The sequence below is a fragment of the Homo sapiens genome, chromosome 1, assembly GCF_000001405.40.
Source record: "Homo sapiens chromosome 1, GRCh38.p14 Primary Assembly".
Classification (NCBI taxonomy): Eukaryota; Metazoa; Chordata; class Mammalia; order Primates; family Hominidae; genus Homo; species Homo sapiens.
The window spans coordinates 144695869-144708527 of record NC_000001.11 but is presented as its reverse complement, the minus strand read 5'-3'; the positions used below and the strand labels follow the sequence as shown (position 1 = coordinate 144708527).

General features: G+C 43.2%; 1 pseudogene; it reads left to right on the top strand.

Annotated features, from left to right (window-relative positions):
• On the top strand, window positions 7369-7478 carry RNA5SP59 (RNA, 5S ribosomal pseudogene 59; annotated as a pseudogene).

Below are 12659 nucleotides of genomic sequence, written 5' to 3'. Positions count from 1 at the left end.
ATGACTGAGTCACACTCAGAGGGAAGTGATTCCCACAAGCAGCTCCCAGCCAGTAACTGAGCTTGGCATGGATACTGAGGCAGGCCCCTTCCTGGGAGAAATGGGACTCCAGAAGTCCTGGACCCTCTCTACTTCTTTTTATACCTGCTTACAATTTAGCCAATTCTTTTCTGAGCTCATCTCTTTCTTACAGTAGTGACCAAGGGATGTTACTAACGTTCAGTTTCCCCATCTTTTCACCTTAAGCTTCAAGTTCCTTCAGCACATCATCCGCCCTTCAAGTTATTCCTACAACAGCTTTACCAAATATTTCACCACTGCATAACATAGATTACCATCTTTCCAACCCTCAGTAACGGTTCTCTTGCTGACTGCCATCTGGCCCTAGAGCCACATATTTTAGGGTTTGTGTTTTGGCTGCTCCCCACTCCTGGTACCATAACACCATCTATCAAATCTACCTGTAGATCATGAAATTACATAGGGCTTCACCAAAACTGCTATGGAGGTGGGGAGAGGGACAATTGGAATGGAGCTCAGAAAGCTGCACTTGCAGAGTCATTTATGTAAGACTGTGAGTGTGCTGCCGGTCCACATCAGAGGATGGGGACTACCATGGTCTGAATGTCTGTGTCTCTCCAAATTTCATATGTGGAAACTTAATCAAGGTGATAGTTTTAAGAGGTGGGGCATTTAGGAGCTGATTAAGGCATTTGGACAGAGCCCTTCTGAATGGGATTAATGACCTTATAAAAGAAATGAAGATGAACAAATGACCCCTTCCACCACATGAGGACATAGCAAGAAGGTACCATCTTAAAGCAGAGAGCAAGCCCTCACCAAGACACTGAATATGCAGATGCCTTGATCTTAGACTTCCCAGCCTCTGAAACTGCAAAAAATAAATAAATAAATAAACTTCTATTGTTTATAAATTACCCAATCTAAGGTATTTTGTTTTAGCGGCTCAAAGGAACTAAGACAAAGGTCATGGAGACCATAGGGTGAGTCTCAAGACTTCCCCCAACTCTACTTGGCTGGTCTCCTGCTGGTATTTTCCATCTGTAGAGAGGAAAAAGAACTCCCATTTTACCTTGCTTACCTGCACTTATGAAAAGTCAAACTGAGTCATGTTGAGAGCCAGGGAACATAGGAGTCGGTTCTTCAGCAGGAGCACTCAGCTAGTTGAAGGCAATGTGGAGTGATGGGAAGAGAGCAGTGATGCAGTGATTCTGGCACCAACTCCTTTACTATGGCATCCATTGTACCAGCTGCCATACACCTGGCTACTTCTACACCTTATCTCTAATCACTCCAGAATACGTATTAGTTTCCCCATCTTCTAGAAAGGAAAACTCAGACCCAGAGACACTAAGCAAGTAGCTCAAGATCACACACGTTATCTGTGATTAAGCCTCAGTTAGAACTGGAGTCTTGGATTTCCACATTTATACCCTTTTCATGAAGCTACCTAACTTTGATCCTCAAGTTTTCCCATCTATAGCATGGGACTGCTGGACTAGAAATCTCTAAGTCCCCTTTACCTCTTGAATTCTGTGTCTCTAAGGATGAGAATAACAAAACTCCTTTGCCTCTAGCACTTTCCAACTCAAAGCCCTATCACTCTCATTACATCTAATCACTGCAGCCAGAAGCATTAAATAAAATGGAAGGACTGACATTGGGAGTGGGCGAGGCAGAGAAGTTGGGGGCGTGGAGAAACAGCTCTTTTTACATAATGATTGCTACTATGATTTGGTTATAAATAACCAGTGAAGACAATCAGGCTTTTCTGGCAGTCCCTAATTGTAGTGAATGTTGGAATACAGTGACCACCCAAATGCTCTAGACTGATTGGGAAGGTGCCACTTCTAAATCAGCTGGGCTAAGTGCATTGCATAAGCTGAGTATTTAGCTTAATGATTAGAGCCAGTTGACGAAACACAAGAATATGGAAGCCTCCTGCTACTTCTCAGAAGATAAGACAATGGCATTCCACCACCAGTGTTTACTGTGGTACCCAAAGGGAGCTCCAGTTACTTCCCTCTGTGCCTATAACCCTTGGATCACCTGGTTGCACCAGACCCATCCTGACTAAAATCCCTCCAAAGGACCAAAGAGGAGATACGGACAAAAATAAAAAATAAATCTCATCTGCTCTCTTTCCTAAGGACCCAGCAGCCTCTATCCATCCGTCGTTCATTCACTCATTCCACACACTTTCATCTAGCCCCTGCTGAATGCCAAGCACTGGGCTGGAACTCTGGGGACTGTGGAGGTGGAATAGGAGAATATGGGCTTTCTGTGAGCAGTGATTGCCTAAAATATATACATCAAGGTTGTAGGATCATGTGCACCACTGCACTCTAGCCGGGGTGACAGAGTGAGACCCTGTCTCAGAAAAATAAAAAAAAAATTGTAGGATCATGGAGAAAGTGTCTTAAGTGTTTGGTGCTGTGGACAGGCAACACAGGCAGAAACTGGTGGCTAGGGAATCAGAGAAGTTTTCAGGAGGGAGCATTTGACTTGGGCTTGAACTGAGCATCATAGGGCAATATAGAAACAAGTTTATGGATAATTCACTGAATTGGTGGCAGTTTATAACTTGAGTCTTCCTTCAGATGATTGAAGTTAGTAGCCCAGCTATGAAAGTCTAGGTTACAGATGTCTCAGCCACAGCTTGCATATATATGGATGAGGTTCATACATATGCAGACTTGGGCTCCTGCCAAGATATGAGAGTTTTGGTCAGTCTCTGTCTCAATTCTAATGTCTCTGCCTACATACCTGAGTCCAGAGTTGTCATGCAAAGAACAGAACCCTGGAACAATCACACAAGGATTTGGTACTAGGCTTAGCCATTTTCTAGCCATGGGGACAAAAGAAAATTACTGAACCTCTCTGAGTCCCAGTTTATTTGTCTATAAAATAAGGATAGTGATACTGGGGTTACAAGGAAATTGTGAGAATTAAAATAGTTCAGGAGAGGTTAAGTTGTCCTGGGGCCACCTTTGTCATTGCAGTGACCACACTCTGTAGTGAGGGCACCCTTGAGAGCAGACAGCAGAGCTGCTATGTGATTCATCTCTAGAATCCATGATTCTTGGAACACTTCCTGAGAGCTATTAGGCATTCAAGAAATGTTAATGGTAGATCATAGTATAATGGTAGATCATAGTATTGTGATAGATCATAGTATTGTATTATTGTTCAGCAAACATCTGTTTTCCCTCCTTTCAATGGAAGTGGTGTACCTCCCCACCCCACTGACATTGGGCTTAGCCATGTGACTTGCTTCAGCTAATGGAATGTGGGTGACTCAGTGAATGCCACATCCAAGCAGAGGTGTTAAATATTCCTGCATGGCCTCTGGTGATCCTGTCCTCCAGCATGAGATGAACATGCTTCAGATAGCTGCTGCTACTCCCCTGGATCCTCTTCTGAGAGCCAAGTGAAGCAAATAGGAACCCAATTCACCACCCAGATCCAGGCCCATCTGAATCTAGCCAGCCCAGAAGAGCCCTGTAGAACCACAGCTGACCTATGGAAATGAGAAGTAAATGTTTGTTGTTGTTAGCATTGAGATTTGGGGATTACTTTTTATGTGGCATCATCACAACAAAGCCTGACTAATATATTGTATAAAGTTAATTGAGTACTAACAACATGCCAGGTATTGTTCTAAGTCCTTTATATAAAGAATCCCATCTAATCGTTACAGCACTGCATAAGGAGGTATCATAAGTATCTCCATTCAGCTGATTAGAATTGAGGCATCTGGTCAATCCCCTTCATGTTATTCCTCCTCACTTCCTGCATCCGAATGAACCAAGCCTCCTGTGTTCATTAGAACCACAGACCAAGCCTGCTGGAGAAAGACAGGGCTATGAAGATGGGAATGAATTGGCAAACAGCTTTGGGATGACAATGTTAAGGCCAGGCAAATGCTCTCAGTAACCTCAAATGAGTGTTGATGTTCATGAAGCCTGCTCAAAAAAGACACAGAAATTGACGTCTTTTATCTGAGGACCCTTCCTTAGCCTCAGGACTTAAGGCTATGGGAGCATGAGCCACATAACCATGAGAGGCAGGGGGTTCAGTGAGAAGAATAAGCTCAAGAGTCTTACCTGTGGGTCAGAATCTCAGCTGTGCCACACATACTGTGTGATCTTGAGCAAATCACCAAACCTCTCTATTCCTCATTTTTGTCACCTGTAAAGTGGGATTATTACTTGTACCTACATCCTGGATTTGTTGGGACAGTAAATGAGTTAGTGTTCCCAAGGTGCTTAACACAGAGCCTTTGCATGCAGCAAGCACCCAGTCAATGCCCATGACCATGGCCCCCTGCTCATGCTGCTCTTTTGTTCCCCCTGAGGTCTTTTGGGGACAGAGAGTGTGAAAATGCCCTCTACCCACACAAGGAAACAGGACTCAGGGACAGAGGACCTGTGCCCTGACCAAGGCAATGCATCCCTCACCATATATGCAGTGGTGCATCCTTTCCTGTTGCCTTTTGGATCAGCAATTAAGGCTTTAGTCTTTTTTGTTGGTGTGCAAAGGTATTTTCTTAATGGCCCTGCAGCCCAGCCATCACAAAAATGCTTTCCAGCTCTCAGCGAGAACATTTCTGATGCATGCTGAATCCAGAATTCAAATGAAGCAAAACAAAGGCACCAGGGGCTCTTATGAGACAGAGTGACTCAAAATAGAGGGAATGTGGGGACTTGGGGCATAAGATTGATCATGAATCACCAAATAGAAAAACCTTGGGATGGCTTTCAAGAAAAATCCTCCTTGAAGTTTTAACTTTCACCTACAAGCAAGTTTTCTCACTGCTCTGTACAGCAGGGTAAGGACAGCAGCCTCACAGCATCAGTCTGAGGATAGAATGGGTTAATGCAGCCAGGCACAGTGGCTCATGCTTGTAATCCCAGCACTTTAGGAGGCCGAAGCAGGCGGATCATGAGGTCAAGAGATCAAGACACCCTGGCCAACACGGTGAAACCCCGTCTATACTAAAATACAAAAATACTAGCTGAGTGTGGTGGTGCATGCCTGTAGGCCCAGCTACTTGGGAGGCTGAGGCAGGAGAATTGCTTGAACCTGGGAGACGGAGGTTGCAGTGAGCCAAGATCACACCACTGCACTCCAGCCTGGGTGACAGAGTGAGACTTTGTCTCCGCAAAAAAAAAAAAAAAAAAAAAAAAAGAATGGGTTAATGCCTGAGAACTCTTTGGCACAGTGCCCAGCACAAATTCAGCAGTCACTCAGTGTTGGCTATCATCTTTGGTGATGTTGGTCCCAAACCCAGACCTCTGCTCTTGTCCTCGGCTCATACACCCACCTGTATAGCCCATATGCACTTTAAACATGAGTCCAAAATGGAATCCAAAATATTAGATGCCCTCGTTGCCACCACCAGGTTTGCTTTCCTCTCAAGCCACTGAGGGATCCATAGAAGCAGAGACCATGATGAGAACCCATCTTTAACTCTGGGTCGCTAGCACAGGGGCAGAGTAGGCAGTCACTACATCTTCAGAGCTTGTGAGTTTTATTTTGCTTTGTTTTGCAATCTGTCATCCCCACACTCTTACTATATAAGACAGTGCCTAGCCAGACAAGCATAGGTTTAAATCTCCACCTTGTCATTTCTTAGCTGTGTGACCCTGAGCGACAAGCTTGAGTTTTCTGAGCCTCAGCACCTTCAGCTGTACAGTGAGAATGAACAGACCTCCTCACAAGGCTGCTATAAAGAATTAACGAGGCTGGGCATGGTGGCTCCCACCTGCAATCCTAGCACTTGAGGCCGAGGTGGGTGGATCACCTGAAGTCAGGAGTTCGAGACCAGCCTGACCAACATGGTGAAGCCCCGTCTCTACTAATAATACAAAAAATTAGCCGGGCATGGTGGTGGGCGCCTGTAATCCCAGCTACTTGGGAGGCTGAGGCAGGAGAATCGCTTGAAACCAAAACCGGGTGGCAGAGAGAGGTTGCAGTGAGCCAAGATTGCACCACTGCACTCCAGCCTGGGTGACAAGAGTGAAATTCCATCTCAAAAAAAAAAAAAAAAGGAATTAATGAGATCACTCCGCACAAATCCTAATGTGGCATCTGATACAGGGCGAGTTCTAGTAAATGAGCATTTTTTACACTCAAGATGTAAGAGTGATGGTTTCATTATTAGAGATGAGAGAACCAAATTAATAAACGTTTAATCATGTACTTAAAATCACACAACTGGGACTCATAACCAAGCCCTTTTCTTCCTGGTCTGATGTTCATTCCTTGTTGTCTGAAATGTCAAATCATTTTACCAGAATAGCAGGGGAGAGAGGGACAGAAAGTTGCTTAAATTATTGATTTTGTTTTAGCAGCCTCTCATCCTGCAAGAGGGGCTTGCAGTAACAAAGGCCTGGCACCTTTGAGTTTGTTTTTGGTCCATTTTTTAAATCTTCATTCCCTTTAGCTCTTGTTGAAAATGGCTTCCTGCCACTTTGCACAGAAAAATCTCTTTCATGAAATACCAAAACCAAACAAAAAACAGGCCTTCGAAATGCTGTTTTGCCTCCTCCTAAGAGCTAACATTTGCCAGTTGTAAATTAACATTCCTTTCGCTTCTTTCAACAGAAAATCAATCAGGGCCCTAAAATCCCTGCACATCTGTATTTAATCCACAAATAATTCAACAATGTTCTATCTTAATGGTGTATTGTGAGAAAAGCATAAATGTCATCAACTTCTTTTACGTGGAAAGAACAATAGGGCATGAACTTGTTTGTGCTCCTGATGTCCTTTAGAAATGGATTCCTAAGGACCAGGAGTGTTCTCCCCACCGACGGTGCACAGTGCCACAGCAAGGACAGTCAACTGGGAGTTGGGAGACCTGGACTTCAGTTCACACCACTTTGCTGGGGTACTTGGGCAAGTCCCTCAGGGCCTCAATTTCTGCATCTGCACAATATGGGGAGTGGTCAACATGATTTCCAAAGTCTCTAGCCAGATTTCAAATTTGTTTACAGCACACAGAAAATTGCTAAAGAGAAAAAACTATAGTGGCCATTTCTGTTCAGGCTGCAAAATCTTGTGCACTATTTACATATTTAGGTATGAACTGTCTCAAAGGGTCTTTCATTTAAAAATGACCAACATGGAGAAACCCCATCTCTACTAAAAATACAAAATTAGCCAGGCGTGGTAGCGCATGCCTGTAATCCCAGCTACTCCGGAGGCTGAGGCAGGAGAATGGCTTGAACCCGGGAGGCAGAGGTTGCTGTGAGCCGAGATAGCACCATTGCATTCCAGCCTGGGCAACAAGAGCGAAATTCCGTCTCAAAAAAAAAAAAAAAAAAAAAAAAAGAGGATGTAGGCTACAGCCATATACCCTGAACATGCCCAATCTCATCTGATCTTGGAAGCTAAAAAGGGTCAGACCTGATTAGTACTTGGATGGGAGAAAATGAAGGTGGAGATAGTTCTTTGTGAAGACACATGTGTGTACTTATTTGTGCACTTGTGTGCTTGCAATTGCATCTTGGGCACATGTGTATTGTGGAGGCATCTGTGTGCCTGTGGAGTGTGTATACATAAGTACCTGATGTATGTTTGGCTGCAGAGGCACAGAAGGTCAGCAACAGCAGGTGGCTGCATGCAGGGGCACTAATAATTACTCATTTTATACAAACTGTTTAGCAACAATGTTAGCTATTCTACTGCTGACTTTACGAACAGAGAAAATGTGGCCGGACACAATGGCTCCTACCTGTAATCCTAGCACTTTGTAGGGGCTGAGGCAGAAGAAGCCCTTGAGCTCAGGAGTTTGAGACCAACCTGGGTGACGTAGTGCGACCTAGTCTCTAATAAAAATTAAAAAAAAAAAAAAAAAACTATCCAGGTGTGGTGGCGCATGCCTATAATCCCAGCTACTTGGTAGGCTGTAGCAGGAGGATCACCAGAGCCCAAGAGTTTCAGGCTGCAGTGAACCATGATTGCTCCACTTCACTCTAGCCTGGATGACAGAGCAGGACCCTGTCCCCCTGCCACAAAAAAAGAAAAGAAAAGAAAAGGAAAAAGAAACATAGAATAGAAAACGTCTCCTGGTTTGCATCCTGGAATAGAGAAATGAGCACAGGCTTTCAAATCAAACAGTAGTGATTCATATCCTGCCCCTGGCACTCACCCAGCATCTCTGAACCTGAATATTTTCATCCAGGTTGACTTAAGGATGAAATGGAAAAAGATTTACAAAGTACCTGGGGCATAGCAAAGGATTCAATAAATGTTCTCTCCCTTTTCTTCTATATTAGTTATCTATTGCTAAATAACAAATTAACCCAGAACTTAGCAGCTTAAAACAGCAAGTGTTTTTCTGATAGTGTCTATGAGTCAGGAGCCCAGGCAAAGCTTCGCTGGGTCTTCTGGCTCACAGTCTCCCAAAGGCCGCAATCAAGGAGTAATATAAGGCTATGGTCTCATCTGAAGGCTCAAATGAGGGATGCTTCCTTTCCAAGCTCACTCATGTGATTATTAGCAGGTTCAGGTTTTGGCTGACTCTTGGTCAGACACTCCCCCAGCCTCTGGTTTCTTGCTACTGGGCCTCTTCATAGAACACCCACAACATGGCTGCTGGCTTCCATCAGAACAAGAAAGCAAGAGAGCAAGAGAGGGTGAGCAGGATGGAAGTCATTTTCTTTTTGTAACTTCTCAGAGGTGCTGTTCATCAGTTTCACCATATTGTGTTTGTTAGGAACAAGACATTAGGTTCAGCCAAGATATAAGGGAGTGGAGAGGATTATACAAGGGCATGAATACCAGGAGACATGGATCACTGGAGGCCATCTTAGGGGCTGCTGGGAAGCCTGTCCTCCAGCCCCCAGTGATTCACATCCTCCACCCCATGCAAAATACACTTGTGTCCTGCCAAGATCCCTAAAAATCTCCTCCCCCTTCAGCATCAACTAAAGTTCAGAATCTCATCAAATCAGGTATTGGGGTGGGGACTTCTTGAGAATGACTAGTCACATGCAGCTCCTAGAGTACAGTTCCTCTCTCTCTGAGAGCCTGTGAAACTAGAGAGACACAGTATCTGCTTCCATACTCCTAGCATTAAATGGTATAACAGGCATGGGTTAGCTCTATATCTGTCTCCTTTTTCTCTAGATGTTTGATGAGACAAGTATTTTAATTTTGTATTCCACTAATTTATTCATTCAACAAATACTTATTAGGTACTGACTATAGACTCTATTTATTTTGCATTCCCATTTTGCCAACAAGGAATCTGAGAATCAGAGGCAAAATATTACAGCTTGGCCCACTGAATTATTTTTTCTTCTCTGAAAGGACCTCTAGGATTCTCCATCAATGAGGACTTTCTAGTCACAGCTGCAGTGAGGTTTGAGTTTAGCTGATTAGACCATCAACCACAAAGACTACACATTCAAATACTTTTATGTGGCAGAATATCTAAGAATAATTCAAGCTAATAAAAGATCTAGAGAATAATTAGATATATTCATTGTTAATAAGAGCCCATTTAATATTGTAGCAAAGGCAAGATCAGGGCAGGGTCAAGGCAGATAATTTTCAAACATGCCTAATGATAGTGTAGACCAATGGTGTTTTTCAATTGTGGCTATATACATTCTAACACATTCAATTTTTTTTAAAAAGTGAAGCTTAGGTCCTATTCCTTAGAAATTCAGATTTAACTAATTTGGAGTGGGCCCCAGACATCAATATTTTAACTTTCAAGTGGTTCTAGGAAAGACAGGTTTAGGGGCTGTGGAGAGACACAGAATGGCAAGTACTTAGAACATTCACACATCCCCCACCTCCCAAGCTCCTAACAGAAATCATTTATTAGCCAGTCCCCTCAATGTCATTGGTTGGAATGCAATTGTGTAGTCTTTCTCATCCCAGGACTCCAGGCAGCCCCTACCCATGAAGCCAAGTTGACATATGAATGAAGGCATATGTGTTAGCCCTGACAAGCCACACTGGGCATGCTTTCCCAAACCTACAAATTATCAAGGGTGTAGAAAAATAGAGCCCTCTCCATGCTGAGCAGATCTCACTCATGTAGACAACTGAGGTCTAATTACCCATTGGAAAGGGCCATTGGAAGAGCACAGGAAAAGGTCCAAGATGGAGAGGGAATTTACAGCCAAGTCTGATAATGGTTTCAGAACCTCAAAATACTTCACCTGGAGAGGACCCATGGGCAATATACATGAAGGAGCTCTCCTCTTCCTGAGTCCCTCCAAAGAGTTGTGTAAAGCCCAAAAGGGGGGCTCTCCAGGAGTAGATGCTCTTCAAATCCCACTTCTATCCCTTACTAGAAGTATAACCTGGCTTGCTATTGAGCCTCTCTCAGCCTCCTTTTCCAAATGAGGACAATGGTGCCTATGTCACAAGAATATTGCAGTGATTCCATGAGAAGATGTATACAAAGCACCTTGCCCAATAGATAGTCAACAAATGCTGGTTGTCACCTTTATTCTGTCAGTGTTGGTGGAGTGCTGGTACTCATAGTTCACTAAGAGTTTTTAGGACAGCAATGATCTTAGAAGAGAATCAGATCAAAGTTCTGAGTGTTTTCCCTGGAACTGGCATTGTATTATTAATATCCTACAAATGGGAGACATGCATCCCCTGGTCTCATACCTGGAATATCAAAATGGTACTTCATTAACAGTGTCAAAGCAAAAGTCTGATGGCTCTGCCTGCTCTTGTGAGTAGGGGTACTCATATTCCCTTTAAGCCCTTCCCCCAAATTGGCCTAGAGGTCCAGGGGGTTCCACATGGGCTCAACATTCTCTGATTAACTCTCCCCTCATATCAACAACTTCCTCCTATCAAGCTTGACATCTTGTGCTATTTCTTCCTATTCTAGGTGTAGGCAAGTCTAGTTTGCTCTTCAGCTACTCTATCCCTCTCCTGCATATTGACTCTTGAATTCTTGATCCCTAGTAGCTTCTCACACTGTCTGTAAAATGGAGCATGGAACCACTACATAGAAACAGGAAGGTTCTGCCCTGTACTCTCAGCTCTTAAGGGCACAGTCACAAGAAGACCATTTTTAAATTCTCATTGTGTAACACCCTTACACATTCCACATGCATCATAGCACATAACTCTGACAATAAACTACAAGGTAAGCAACTAATTATTCCCTTTTTAATATTTTTTAAACCTAGGAAGGTAACTTAATCTCTTTGACTTCCAGTTCTCATGAACTAGAACATTAGAGAATCGAGATTTGAACCAGAGGTGATGGTTTTTAAAATATGTCTGCTAGATATCAAAATGAGTGCATGGGATTTGATATATGTACATAGGTAGGCATAGAAATAGATAGAGATGCTCAAGGATATGTGTATATGCACATATGAATATGTGTGCATGTATATACATGTATCCATTTCCCAACTCTGTCTTTTAAGAGGATATAGAAACAATATCACCCCAGTAACAATAAACACCCTAGTGCCCACATCTTGATTTCTCCATATCATTTTCTGCTAGAAGGAACCCTGGTCTCCTTGGAAAAATGGATGATTCCAAGGCTTGGACAGGGAATACACAAGATGAGTCTGACATATCTCATGTTGAAAAGTAACAAACTACTCAAAGAATAATGACAGCATGTCAAAAGGACACAAGAACCAACTTAAAGGGCTCCCACTCACCAAATCTAGGGCAACCTAAATATCATGATAAGTATGGATACCCTCAGTTCACTGAGAGATTTGAGGTCAGGGACAGTCTTAGAAGACAATAGAAAACAGTGTTCTGAGTGTTGCCCCTAGAATGAGCATTGTGTTAATATCATAGAAATGGGACACATGTGTCCCCAGGTCCCATACCTGGAATGTAAAAATAGTATCCATTAACAGCGTCAAGTAAAAGATTATAACCTATTATAAAAACTAGAAACCCGGGCTGGGCATGGTGACTCAAGCCTGTAAATCTCAGCACTTTGGGAGGCTGAGGCGGGAAGTCTGTTTGAGCCCAGGAGCTTGAGACCAGCCTGGACAACATAGGGAGGCCCCGTCTCTACAAAAAAAAAAAAAAAAAAAAAAATTACCTGGGCATGGTGGCATATGCCTGTGGTCCCAGCTACTTGGGAGGCTGAGGTGGGAGGATCACTTCAGCCCTGGAGTCAAGGTTGCAGTGATCTGTGATCATGCCACTGCTCTCCAGCCTAGACAACAGAGTGAGACCCTGTCTCAAAAACAAACAGAAAACTAGAAAACCAAGATTCTATGCCGATGTCAATAATATAAACAAGTGTTCTTCCTTACAGTAGAAAACCAACAATACATTTAGAAAGATTACAGAATTTTTTTAAAAAACATGATTTGACAACCACAGTAATAACTGATTCAGGGAAGGGCTACTAATAAATGCTAAAACCAATGGATGCAAGTTTGAGAAATAATAGGATATCTTCATAGTCTCAAAGTATTTCTCCAAAGGAAATACATATTAATTATAAAGAGTAAAACGGTGGACAGCACCGTAACCCCATGAACAAAGTTAACATTGCTAGTAATGGGACTAATTAATAGCACCTGCCCCTCATGCCTTGAGCTACAGGAGCTCAGCATGGCATCAGTGATATTCCTGCCCAACATGCATAACAGAATCTGATCATG